The sequence below is a fragment of the Homo sapiens genome, chromosome 10 (genome assembly GCF_000001405.40).
Source record: "Homo sapiens chromosome 10, GRCh38.p14 Primary Assembly".
Lineage (NCBI taxonomy): Eukaryota > Metazoa > Chordata > Mammalia > Primates > Hominidae > Homo > Homo sapiens.
Window position 1 is genome coordinate 21,783,450 of NC_000010.11, and position 13,900 is coordinate 21,797,349.

The following is a 13,900-nucleotide window of genomic DNA, read 5'->3' on the forward strand; positions in this document are numbered from 1 at the left end:
CAATATCGTGACAATGGCCATACTACCCAAGGTAATTTGTAGATTCAATGCCATCCCCATCAAGCTACCAATGACTTTCTTCACAGAATTGGAAAAAACTACTTTAAAGTTCATATGGAACCAAAAAAGAGCCCACACTGCCAAGTCAATCCTAAGCAAAAAGAACAAAGCTGGAGGCATCACACTACCTGACTTCAAACTATACTACAAGGCTACAGTAACCAAAACAGCATGGTACTGATACCAAAACAGAGATACAGACCAATGGAACAGAACAGAGCCCTCAGAAATAACACCACACATCTACAACCATCTGATCTTTGACAAACCTGACAAAAACAAGAAATGGGGAAAGGATTCCCTATTTAATAAATGGTGCTGGGAAAACTGGCTAGCCATATGTAGAAAGCTGAAACTGGATCCCTTCCTTACACCTTATACAAACATTAATTCAAGGTGGATTAAAGACTTAAATGTTAGACCTAAAACCATAAAAACCCTAGAAGAAAACCTAGGCAATACCATTCAGGACACAGGCATGGGCAAGGACTTTATATCTAAAACACCAAAAGCAATGGCAACAAAAGCCAAAATTGACAAATGGGATCTAAATAAGCTAAACAGCTTCTGCACAGCAAAAGAAACTACTGTCAGTGAACAGGCAACCTACAAAATGGGAGAAAATTTTTGCAATCTACCCATCTGACAAAGGGCTAATATCTAGAATCTACAAAGAACTTAAACAAATTTACAAGAAAAAATCAAACAACCCCATCAAAAAGTGGGCGAAGGATATGAACAGACACTTCTCAAAAGAAGACACTTATGCAGCCAACAGATGCAAGAAAAAATGCTCATCATCACTGGCCATCAGAGAAATGCAAATCAAAACCACAATGAAATGCCATCTTAGACCAGTTAGAATGGCAATCATTAAAAAGTCAGGAAACAATAGGTGCTGGAGAGGATGTGGAGAAATAGGAACACTTTTACACTGTTGGTGGACTGTAAACTAGATCAACCATTGTGGAAGTCAGTGTGGTGATTCCTCAAGGATCTAGAACTAGAAATACCATTTGACCCAGCCATCACATTACTGGGTATGTACCCAAAGGATTATAAATCATGCTGCTATAAAGACACATGCACACGTATGTTTATTGTGGCACTATTCACAATAGTAAAGACTTGAAACCAACCCAAATGTCCATCAATGATAGACTGGATCAAGAAAATGTGGCACATATACACAATGGAATACTATGTAGTCATAAAAAAGGATGAGTTCATGTCCTTTGTAGGGACATGGATAAAGCTGGAAACCATCATTCCGAGCAAACTATCGCAAGGACAGAAAACCAAACACTGCATGTTCTCACACATAGGTGGGAACTGAACAATGAGAACACTTGGACACAGGAAGGGGAACATCACACACCGGGGCCTGTCATGGGGTGGGGGGCAGGGGGAAGGGATAGCATTAGGAGATATACCTAATATAAATGACAAGTTAATGGGTGCAGCACACCAACATGGCACATGGACACATATGTAACAAACCTGCATGTTGTGCACATGTACCCTAGAACTTAAAATATAATAATAAAAGAAAAAAGAAAAAAAATCAGCTTCTTGCTTTAAAAAAGTCTTATTTATAAATCAATAGTGGCCAAAGCAAGGAAACAGCAATCCAAACAGCTTTGTGCACTGGCAGTTTGAGGGTCTGGCCTCACCTCTCAAGAAAGAGGCCAATTCTATCCTCTTAAGCTGCATTACTGCCAATTTCCCATTGTGTGGAGGCAGTCAGGATGCAAAGCCTTTGTACTTCAATTTCCCCAGTGTGCATCAGATGTATCTGCCAGTGATATTGCCACTCTACTAATTTGCAAGGATTGAAAGAATCCAGCAGGCTTGGTAGATATCTCGTTCCTCTCTCTCAACTATTGCCTTTGCTCCTCTTCAAGGTGTGTCCTCTGTGGAAGAAGAAAACTGAAGGAGGATATTCTCTGGTCCAAGGCCTGCAAGTAGTTGTTACTCCTTTACCAGAACATTTGAATTAGCTTTCCATGTCCTTTGACAGGGGAGAGTAGGCAGTCGAAAATATAACAAAATTCTAGAGATGGCTCTAGAATTCCTTTGAAAAATAAAACTGTCTTTGTTGAAGGGATAGTCTGGCAAGTGTTCCAAGTGGAAGTTGAATGCTCTCCCTGCCCTCCTGGGCCTACATGGCAACTGCCACCTGGACATCAGAGGAAAAGGCAAAGTACTCTGTTGAACACAGGAAAGAACCCAGGTTGAGGGTTAATCTGGAAGAGAGAAAGTGACAGGAAATGGAAGGCAGAGAAGATGAAAAAAGATGGAAAAGGAGGAGGGGAAGGGAGAAAAGCAACTGGAAATTGTACGACTAAGAAGGGCACTGGACCACAGTGATATCTATAACTAGTATGTAATGTATGGATTTTAAATTGTTTGTTATAGAGCGTTCCTCCATTTCCCCTATAAGATCACTAGGAATGTTGATCACTGTATATACTTCAGGCTCCATTTAACGTAGATCCACTCCTGCTCATTAATGCTTTTGGACGAGTAGATTCTTTTTGAGAAATTCACTGTCGTATAGTACAAAGGGGACACACTAGGATACAGGCGCGTGAGGCAAGAAGAGTGCACACCTTGGGAATTAACACACATAATGGGAAGATTTTTAGATGTTCACGGACTATAGAGTTGTTGTTGGTCTTAGCCCATTGGTTCTAGATCTCCAAGAGGCAGAGAGGTCCATCTGACACCTGAGTTACAATATGATAAAGATAAGGGAAAAGAGTAATTCCAGATCATACATTAAGAAGAATTAAGAATTTACTATGTAAATTCAGGTATTTAATCTAACATTTGGGTGCCTTCAGATTTCCCACCCATAACAATCTCTTGAAAATTCATTTCAGATCTAATGTTGAGGTTTTGATTTTAAAATGGGAATATATATATATATATATATATATATATATATATATAGAGAGAGAGAGAGAGAGAGAGAGAGAGAGAGAGAGAGATGGAGTCTCACTCTGTCACCCAGGCTGGAGTACAGTGGCTCACTGTGATCTTGGCTCACTGCAGCCTCTGCCTCCTGGGTTCAAGTGATTCTAATGCCTCAGCCTCCCGCGTAGCAGGCGTGCGCCACCACACCGGCTAATTTTGGTATTTTTAGTAGAGACAGAGTTTCACCATTTGGCCAGCCTGGTCTCGAACTCCTGATCTCAGGAGATCCACCTCGGCCTCCCAAAGCACTGGGATTATAGGCATGAGCCACTGTGCCTGGACTAAAACGGGAATTTCTATCGATCCAATTACCATCTATCCCTACCTGATATTGCTGTTAATGTTATTTTCTGGGTACTAATGAAAATTATAATCTTGTTTGTTGTATAGCTACTCATTGAGCTGTTTTACATATTTATATTTTACAATAAAGGAGGGAGTATGTAATAAATAATATTAACAACCTTATGCCAATTTATTTCAAGATTTAGTTTAATGGGATATATTCCTAGAAAAATCTAATGTTCTAAAATTTACTCAGAGAGAAACAGAGTCTTGGCTGGGTGTGGTAGTTCACGCCTGTAATTCCAGCACTTTGGGAGGCTCAGGTGGGCAGAACACCTGAGGTCAGGAGTTTGAGACCAGCCTAGCCAACATGGTGAAACCTTGTTTCTACTAAAAGTACAAAAATTAGCCGGGCATGGTGGCAGGCGCTTGTAGTCCCAGCTACTCAGGAAGCTGAGGCAGGAGAATTGCTTGAACCCAGGAGGTAGAGGTTGCAGTGAGCAGAGATCATGCCATTGCACTCCAGCCTGGGCAACAGAGTGAGATTCCGTCACAAAAAAAGAAAAAAGGAGGAGGAGGAGGAAGGAGGGGAAGGAGAGGAAGAGAAAAAAGAAGAAAGAAGAAAAGAAGGAAGAGGAGGAGGAGGAGAAGGAGAAGAAGAAATAGAGTTATTTGGGGAGGTGATATCAGCAAGATGGCTGACTAGAGACCCGTAGTGCTCATCCCTTCCACAAAGACAGCCAAAAACAATGAATAAACCACTACATTTTAACAGAAATAACCAAAGGAGAGTGCTGGAGCATGTCAAAGAAGTAACAGCAACCCTGGTGAGTGCAGAAACTCAGGATAGCCACATCATGAAAAGAAGGAAATGCCAGGCCTCTGCCACTCCATCCCCCAGCCAGGATCAGCTGGGAACCAGGTGGCCACTTCTGTCTTTGATGAAAAGGTAGGCAAGAGGATCCCAGCAGCCCCCACCAACACCTTAGACACCTACAGGCCTCACCACTGGGGTCACCTGCAGTCCTCACAGGCACTAAGCCCAGCTGAGGGAGCTGCCAAGAAGCTGCACAGCTTTGCTCCCCCAGAGGAGTAGCCAATACTGTGTTCCTCCCGCTGTGGCCTGCATGGCCACCATGCCACACCATCTTGTAACTGGAACTAATGCTGGAGTAGTCTTGCTCTGGGGGCTAGTAGTCATGGTATCCCTTCATCCCTGAGGCTACCCCACCATCAGAGCACCTCTGCTCAGTGGTCTGACATCCACAAGTGGCTCAGCTGTGAGCACCTTTCCCTGTGGAACCAAGCAGTGGTGGAACTTCCATCCTCCACCTCCCATTGCCTTGGGCTGGAGCTTAAGCACCATTTCTCCCTCCAGAGGAAAGGGTGCTTTGACAGAACAGCTCCATTTACCTCTGTCAGCTGCGGCTGTGCTCTGCCCCTACAAGCCTGAGCTGGAACTGTGCACTGCCTCCGCTGGAAAGAGGGCTTTGCTGGAGCCCTGCATCCATGGTCCCTGGGCTGCCTGGGCAGTCACACCCCTTTAGGCCAGAGCTATAGCAGCACATTGCCCCCTGGGGAACTCATGCCTTGGCTGAGCTGAGAAGCTGTGCATCCCAGGGCTAAGCTTATGTACTACCCTTTGTCTCAGGGAAACAAAGCAGTGGCTAAGCTCAGACACCCTACCCTACAGGCCAAACAACTCCAGTACCCTGCTTCTCTGGAGCTGGACCAGCACCCTATGGTCTGGGCTGTTAAGACACCTCCCTGTTTGTGGAGTAGTGTTATCACTCTGCCATTTTCTGCCCCTCATGGCCCAAACGACAGCCATGTTCGGCCATTCTGGGCTACTTGCTGCCACTGCACTTGGACTCACAGAGACTGAGATACTGCTGAGCCCTACCATCCCAGATTGTAGAGTTACCACTACATGGTGCCTCACATCCAGCGTCCTGAGTTGTCACTGAGCCCTACTGGTTCAAGCTCCTGAATCAAAGCCATATCCTGGCCTAGGCTCAAACCTCCAGAGCACACCTTCTTCCCTGGAGTCAGGCCAGAGCTGTGAACTGCTCCCCAGGGGTAGCATCACAGCTACAACCTGACCTCCTGGACATGAGCTGCTAGAAGGTGCCTCAGAGTCACAGATCCCAGCACTAAGAGCAACCTACATCCAACCCTGCCACAGAGAGCAAGCTTGCACCCCAAGACCCTGGTGCCAGAATAAGGTTCATAAGACCCTGAGCTTAGGACTCCAGCCCCACAGCTGCTCTGAGCACCCGCACCTGGAATTTAGCCACTGTGGCAGCTGCTTGTAGGCCATGCCAGATCTGACAGCAAGAGGGATCCCCTTGGCTAGGTTTCCCCACCGTGGGGAAGTTGAGAAAAGGACTCCAAAAGCCCCTACAACCAAAGAATTAACAACCTATGCTGCTGCTGCCACAACCACGAATGTCTACAACCTAGGCCACTGAGGCAGTCACATTTATTACTAATGTTGAATATAGATGAAAAAGCTGCACAGAGACTATACCACTGCACCTACCTGGAAAGAGTTACCATCCACTTCCCAACTGGCACTGTAAGACCCAACTGCAGGTGAAAGTCTTTCTCTATGTATGAAAGCCACTCTAGAAAGTTTGGAAGAGGCTATTGTTTCACAGACATCAATACAGGGACACAAGAAATATGAAAATCAAGGAAATATGACATCACAAGAGGAACACGACTCTTCAATAACAAACCCTAATGACAAGGAAATCCACAAGTTGCCAGTATAGAAATTAATGAACTTAAGGAAACTCACCAAGATATAAGAATGTACAGATAGATAATTCAACAAAACTAGGAAAAAAAATCATGATATAAATTAGAAATTCAACGGAGATAAATATCATGAAAAAGAATCAAATAGAAATCCTGCAGCTGAACAATTCAATGAATAAAATAAAAAATACAGCCAGGTGCAGTGGCTCACGCCTATAATCCCAGCACTTTGGGAGACCAAGGTGGGTGGATCACATGAAGCCAGGAGTTCAAGAGCAGCCTGGCCAACATGGTGAAACCTGGTCTCTACTAAAAGTACAAAAATTAGCCAGGCAGGGTGGTGCACGCCTGTAATCCCAGCTACTAGAGAGGCTGAAGCATGAGAATTGCTTGAATCCAGGAGGTGGAGGTTGCAGTGAGCCAAGACTAAGCCACTACACTCCAGCCTGGGCAACACAGCAAGGCTCTGTCTTTAAAAAAAAAAAAAAAAAAAAAAAAAAAGAAACAGCTTAAGTAGCAGACTTGATCTAACAGAAGAAAAAAAAATCTCTGAGTTTGAACACAGGTCATTGGAAATTACCCAGTTAGAGAAAGAAAGAAAAAAAGCAAAAAATCAAAAAAGTAAAAAAAAAAAGCTTACAAGACTTATGAGACACCATTAAGTGAACAAGTGTTCATATTATGGAAGTTCCAGAAGGAGAAGACATGGAAAAAGGCATAAAAAACCTATTTAATCAAAGAATAGTTGAAAACTTCCCAAATCTGGGGCATCCAGAGACCCCCAAATAGATTCAACTCAAAAAGATCCTCCCAGAGGCACATTATGATCAAATTTTCAAAGGCAAAGACGAAGAGAAAATTCTAAAAATGGCAAGAGAAAAATGTCAAGTTACATTTAAGAGGATTCCCATTAGATTTCTCCAGAGAAACCTTGCAAGCTACAAAAGAATGAAACAATGTATTCAATAAATTGCCAAAAAAAAAAAAGCCACCAAAGAATACTGTACCCAGCAAAACTATCTTTCAGAAATGAGAAAGAAAATCTTTCCCAGACAAGCAAAAACTAAGAGAATTCATCACCACTACATTGGCCTTACAAGAAATGCTCAAGGAAGTCCTGCATCTGGCAGCAAAAAGATGATAATCACCATCATGAAAACACTCAAAAGTATAAAATTCACTGTTATAGCAAATACACAAAGCAGAAAAAGGATCAAATCTTAATATTACAGAAAACCACCAAACCACAATGACATGAGAGGAAGAAAGGAAAAAAAGATACCTAAAACAACAAGAAAACAATGAACAAAATGACAGGAGTAAGTCCTCATTTATCAATAATAACCTTGAATATGAACAGATTAAATTCTTCACTTAAAAGATATAGACTGGCAAAATAAAATTTTTAAAAATATGAGTCAACTATACTATATGCTACGTATAAGAAATTCACTTCACTTATAAAGACACATACAGACTGAAAGTAGAGGAAGAAAAAAGATACTCCATGCAAAAGGAAAACAAAAGTGAGAAGACATAGCTATATTTATATCATATAAAACAGACTTTAAGTGAAAAGCTGCAAAAAGAGACAAAAAAGGTCATTATATGATGATAAAAGGATCAATTCAGCAAGATGTGAATATATATGCACAGTTGTGAATATATATGCACCCAACATTGGAGAAACCAGATACATAAAAGCAAATATTATTAGATCTAAAGGGAGAGATAGACTCCAATACAACAACAGTTGGGAACTTTGACACCCCACACTCAGCAGTGGACAGATCATTCAGACAGGAAATCAACAACAAGAAAACACTGAATTTGAATTGCATCTTAGACCAAATGGAACTAACAGACATTTACAGAACACTTCATCCAACAGCTACAGAATACACATTCTTCTCATCAGCTCATGGAACATTCTCCAGGACAGACCACATGTTACGCCACAAAACAAGTCTCAACAAATTTTTAAAAAGTAGAAATCATATCAAGTATCCTCTCTGACCACAGTGAAACAAAACTAGAAATCAATACCAAGGGAACTTTCAAAACCATACAAATATATGAAAATTAAATGTGCTCCTGAACGACCAATTGGTCAATAAAAAAATTTAAAAGAAAATTAAAAACATTCTTGAAACAAACGAAATTAAAAACACAACAAATCAAAATCTACTGAATACAGAAAAAGCAATATTAGAGGCAAGATTATAGCCATAAACAAGGAGAAAGATTTCAAATAAATAACCTAATGATGCATTTCAAGGACTAGAAAAGCAAGAAACCAAACCCAAAGTTAGCAGAAAGAAAGGAATAATAGAGTTCAGAGTAGAAATAAAATTGAAACTGAAAAAACCATACCAAAGATCAATGAAACAAAAAGTTGATTTTTTGAAAAGATCAACAAAATTGATAAACCGTTAGCTTAGCGTAACCAAAAGAAATGAAAAACATGGATAGTTCACCCATCATTAAAGAAATGAAATCTGTGGTCAAAAAAAAATCTTCTTTGGAGAGAATATCAGCCACACTTTTATTATTCAAGCACTTTCAGAGCACAACCGCTGATGTGAATGAAATGAATAAATCCCTAGAAATTACTAAAATTTAATCAAGAAGAAATAGAAAATCTGAATAGACCCGTAATAACTTAAAAACAAATGAATTAGTAACTAAAAGTCTTCCCATAAAGAAAAGCCAAGGCCTAGCTGGCTTCACTGGTGAATTCTATCAGATACTCAAAGAAGATATAATAACAATTGTTCACAAACTTTCAGAAATTAGGGGAGGAAGGAACACTTTCTATTTATTCTATGAGGCTAGCATTACCCTGATATCAAAGCCAGACAAAGACATCACAAGGAAACTATAGACCATTCGCTCTCATGAACAAAGAAACAAAAATCCATAATTACTAGCTAACCTTGACCGGGTGTGGTGGCTTATGCCTGGAATCCCAGCACTTTGGGAGGCTGAGGTGGGCGGATCACTTGAGGTCAGGAGTTTCTGACCATCCTGGCCAACATGGTGAAACCCTGTCTCTACTGAAAATACAAAAAAGTTAGCCAGGCATAGTGGCAGGCGCCTGGAATCCCTGCTGCTCTGGAGGCTCAGGCAGGAGAATTGCTTGAACCCGGGAGGCAGAGGTTGCAGTGAGCTGAGATCGTGCCACTGCTCTCCAGCCTGGGTGACAGAGTGAGACAACACCTCAAAAAAAAAAAAAAAAAAATTAGCTAACCAAATCCAGCACCATATAAAATGTATATACAACATGATCAAGTGGGAATGTAAGGTTGGTTTAACATCCAAAGATCAATTTATATACTATGCCATATTAATAAAACACAGGATAAAAATCATGTGATCATCTCAATAGATGAAGCAAAATCATGTGACAAAATCCAATGTCTATTCATGATAAAAATGCTCAAGCTAGAAATAGAAGGGAAGTTCCTTAGATAAAAAGCTTCTATGAGCCTGGGCACGGTGGCTCATGCCTATAATCCCAGCATTTTGGGAGGCCAAGGAGGGCAGATCATCCGAGGTCAGGAGTTCAAGACCAGTCTGGCCAACGTGGTGAAACCCTGTATCTACTAAAAATAGAAAAATTAGCTGGGCGTGGTGGTGAATGCCTGTAATCCCAGCTACTTGGGAAGCTGAGGCAGGAGAATCACTTGAACCCGGGAAGTGGAGGTTGCAGTGAGCTGAGATTGTGCCATTGCTCTCCAGCCTGGGCAACTGGGCGCTCCATCTCAGGGGTTGGGGGGCCGGGAAAGAAAAGCATCTATGAAAAACCTACAGCTAAAATAATACTTAATGGTGAAAGACTGAATGTCTTCCCTCCATGATCAGGAACAAGGCAAGTATGCCTGCACTCACCACTTCTGTATAATATTGTACTAGATGTTTTAGCCAGTGCAACAAGATATTAAGTAAATAAATGGACTGAAGGCATCCAGATTGGAAAGGAAGAATAAAAACTTTTTATCCACAGAACTATTAAACTATCAATGTTAGTTAAGTCCACAGGCTCCAAAACCCAGTATATAAAAATCCACTGTATTCCTACATACCAGCAATGGACAATTTGAAAGTGTAATTAAGAAAACAATTCTGGCTGGGCGCAGTGGCTCACATCTGTAATCCCAACACTTTGAGAGGTCAAGGCAGGAGGATCTCTTGACCTCAGGAATTCAAGACCAGCCTGGGGGGAACATAGTGAGGCCCTGTCTTTACAAATAAAAAATTAAAACATTAGCTGGGCAGTGGTGGTCCATCCCTGTAGTCCCAGCTACTGGGAAGGCTGAAGTGGGCAGATTGCTTGAGCCTAGGAGGTCGAGGCTATAGTGAGCAGTGGTCACACCACTGCATTCCAACCTGGGCAACAGAGTGAGACTCTGTCAGAAAATAAATAAAAATGTAAATAAATAAATAAAACAATTCTGGCAGGGCAAGGTGGCTCACGCCTGTAATCCCAACACTTTGGGAGGCTGAGGCGGGAGGATCGCTTGAGGTCAGGAGTTTGAGACCAGCCTTGGCAACATAGTGAGATTCCATCTTCACACAAAAAAACTAGTTGGGTGTGGTAGTATGCACTTGTATTCCCAGCTATTTGAGAGGCTGAGGTGGAAGGATTCCTTCAGCCAAGGAGTTCAAAGTTTCAGTTATCTATGATCATGCCATTGCACTCCTGGGCAACAGAGTAAGTTCCTATCTTCAAAAAAAAAAAAAAAAAAAGAGAGAGAGAGAGAGAAAAGAAAATGGTTCTTCTCTATAAGCTGAAAAAAATAATACATTTAATAAAAGAAGAACCAGATTTGCATATTGAAAACACTGTAGACAGAACTTGTAAAAGCTCTAAATGAATGAAAGACATTTCATGTTCATGAATTTGAACATTCAAAATTGTTAAGATGGCAGTTCTCTCCAAATTGATCTATAGAGTCAATGCAAATGAACATCCATGAGCAAAAAAAATGAACTTGACCCTTAAATCTCACATTAAACACAAAAAATCAACTCAAAATGGATCTTAGACTTAAATGTAATATCTAAAACTATAAAACTTCTAAGAAAATGTAGGAGAAATTCTTTGCTATCCTGGGTTAGGAAAAGTTCTTAGGTATAACACTAAAAAGCATAATCTATAAAAGAAAAAAATTGATGAACTGGACTTTACTAAAAGTAAACTTTTGTACTTCATATGACACCATTAAAAAAAACAAAAAGACAAACCACACAGTGGGAGAACATATTTGCAAATCATATATTTGATGAAAGACTTGAGTCCATAATATACAGGTTGAGTATTCCTTCTCCAAAATGCTTGTGACCAAAAGTGTTTCAGATTTCAGATTTATTTGCATTTTGTAATATCTGTATTCCATTTACCAGCTGAGCATTCTGAATCTGAAAATCTGAAATCTGAAATGTTCCAATAAGTATTTCCTTTGAGTGTCATCTTGGTGGTCAAAAAGTTTTGGAATTTTGAGCATTTCAAATTTCAGGTTTTCAGATTTGGGATGTCTAACCTATATATAAAGAACTCTTATGACAGGAAAAACAACCAAATTAAAATATGGGCAAAAATTATGAATAGATATTTCACTAAATAAGACGTAGGAATGGCTAATAAGTACTATACAGATTAATGTTCATGGCAGTATTATTCTAACAGCACCAAAGTGGAAATAAGACAAATGACCAATTAGTATAGAATAAATAAAATGCAGTATTTATGCACACAAATATTGAGCAATATGAAGAAATGAACTGCTGATACATGCTACAACACGGATGAACTTCAAATACCTTTCGCCAAGTGAAAGCAGCCATATGTGAAAGACTAAATACTGTTAAGATTCCATTTAAATGTAATTTCCTGAAAAGAAAATAGATCAGTGTAGCCTGAGAGAACAGGAGAAGACTAAATACTGTTAAGATTCCATTTAAATGTAATATCCTGAAAAGAAAATAGATCAGTGTAGCCTGAGAGAACAGGAGTGGGAAATGATTGCTAATGGGATTGAGGGAACACTTCGGGTGATGAAAATGTCTAAAACTGGATTGTGGCGATTTCACAACTCTACAAATTTACTAAAATAACATGAGATTTACTCTCTTAAATCAGGTATACAGTACAATACTGTTAACTATATGCACAACATCCTACAGCAGACCTCTAGAACTTACTCATCCATATTACCAAAACTTTATATCCATTGAACAACAACTCTCTATTTCTCCCTCCCTTCAGCTCCTGGCAACCACCATTCTATTTTTTGCTTCTGTGAATCTGGTTATTTTAGATAACTCATAAAAATGGAATCATGTAGTATCTGTCCTTATAGGAGAAGATTATTTCACTTAGCATAATGTTCTCAGGGGTTCATCCATGTTGTCACATATGGTGGGATTTCCGCTTTTTTTTTTTTTTTTTGAGACAGAGTCTCACTCTGTTGCCCAGGCTGGAGTGTAGTGGCATGATCTTGGCTCACTGCAACCGCCACCTCCTGGGTTCAAGCGATTCTCCTGCCTCAGCCTCCCGAGTAGCTAGGATTACAGGCATGCACCACCATACCCAGCTAATTTTTGTATTTTTAGTAGAGACGGGGTTTCACCATGTTGGCCAGGCTGGTCTCAAACTCCTGAGCTCAGGTGATCTGCCCGCCTCAGCCTCCCAAAGTGCTAGGATTACAGGTGTGAGCCACCTCACCCGGCCATTCCTTCTTTTTCATGAATGAATAATATTCTATTATATGTACATCCCACATCTTCTCTAGCCATCCATCCATCAATGGACATTTAGGCTGTTTCCATGTCTTGGCTACTGTGCATAATGGTGCAATGAACGGGGAAGTGCAGATACCTCTTTGAGATCTTGATTTCACTTCTTTTGGATATACATCTAGAAGTTTTTCTAGAATTGCTAGGTCATATAATTCTATTTTTAACTTTTGTAGGAATCTTCATACTGTTTTCTGTAACAACTGTACCATTTCACATTCCCAGCAACAGTGTACAAGGGTTCCAATTTCTCTAAATCACTGCCAACACTTCTTTTTGTTTTGTTTTTGTTTTTTTGATGATGGCTGTCCTAAGAGGTGTGAAGTATCTTATTGTCATTTTGATTTCTATTTCCCTAATGATTAGAGATGTTGAGCACCTTTTCATATACCTGTTGGCCATTTCTATGTCATCTTTGTAGAAATGTCTTTTGAAGTCCTTTGCCCACTTAAATATGAGGTTATTTTTTTGCTCTTGAGTTGTAGGAGTTCCTTACATATTTTGGACATTAACACCTTATCAGATAAATGGTTTGCAAATATTTTCTCCCAGTGCATGGTTTGTCTCTTCACTCTGTTAATTGTTTTCTTTGCTGTACAGAAGCTTTTTAGTTTGATATAGTCCCACTTCTTTATTTTTCATTTTGTTGCTTGTGTTTTTGGTGTTATAATCCAATAAATCACTGTGAAGACCAATGTCATGAGGCTTTCTCCTATATTTTCTTCTAGGCATTTTATGGCTTCAGGTCTTACAGTTAAGACTTTAATCCATTAAAAAAATTTTTTTTTTGCATGGTGTAAGTAAGGGTCCAGTTTCATTCTTTTGCATGTGGACATTAAGTTTTCCAAGCACCATTTTGGTGAAAAGACCTTTCTTTCCCCATATGTATTCTTGGTACCCTTTTGAAGATTAGTTGACTGTATATGTGTGGGTTTATTTCTGGGTTCTCTTTCCTGTTCCCTTGGTCTATGTGTCTGTCTTTATGCTAGTACCATACTGCTTTAATTACTATAAC

The 13,900-nt window shown here is 40.1% G+C and overlaps 1 protein-coding gene and 1 pseudogene across 1 annotated transcript in view, besides 1 other annotated feature; one reads left to right on the forward strand and one right to left on the reverse strand.

The window, feature by feature from the left end:
• DNAJC1 (DnaJ heat shock protein family (Hsp40) member C1) overlaps positions 1-13,900 on the reverse strand; it is a 247,183-nt gene that overhangs the window by 26,902 nt on the left and 206,381 nt on the right. The gene's annotated exons all lie outside the window — the stretch shown is intronic.
• RN7SKP219 (RN7SK pseudogene 219) lies at positions 1,843-2,138 on the forward strand (annotated as a pseudogene).
• Positions 12,948-13,486: an enhancer, noted in NCBI's record as "NANOG hESC enhancer chr10:22085326-22085864 (GRCh37/hg19 assembly coordinates)". NCBI's record gives its function as "activates a minimal SCP1, AML or CMV promoter by ChIP-STARR-seq in primed H9 embryonic stem cells {active_cell/tissue: H9 hESC(primed)}" and the evidence as "EXISTENCE:reporter gene assay evidence [ECO:0000049][PMID:30033119]".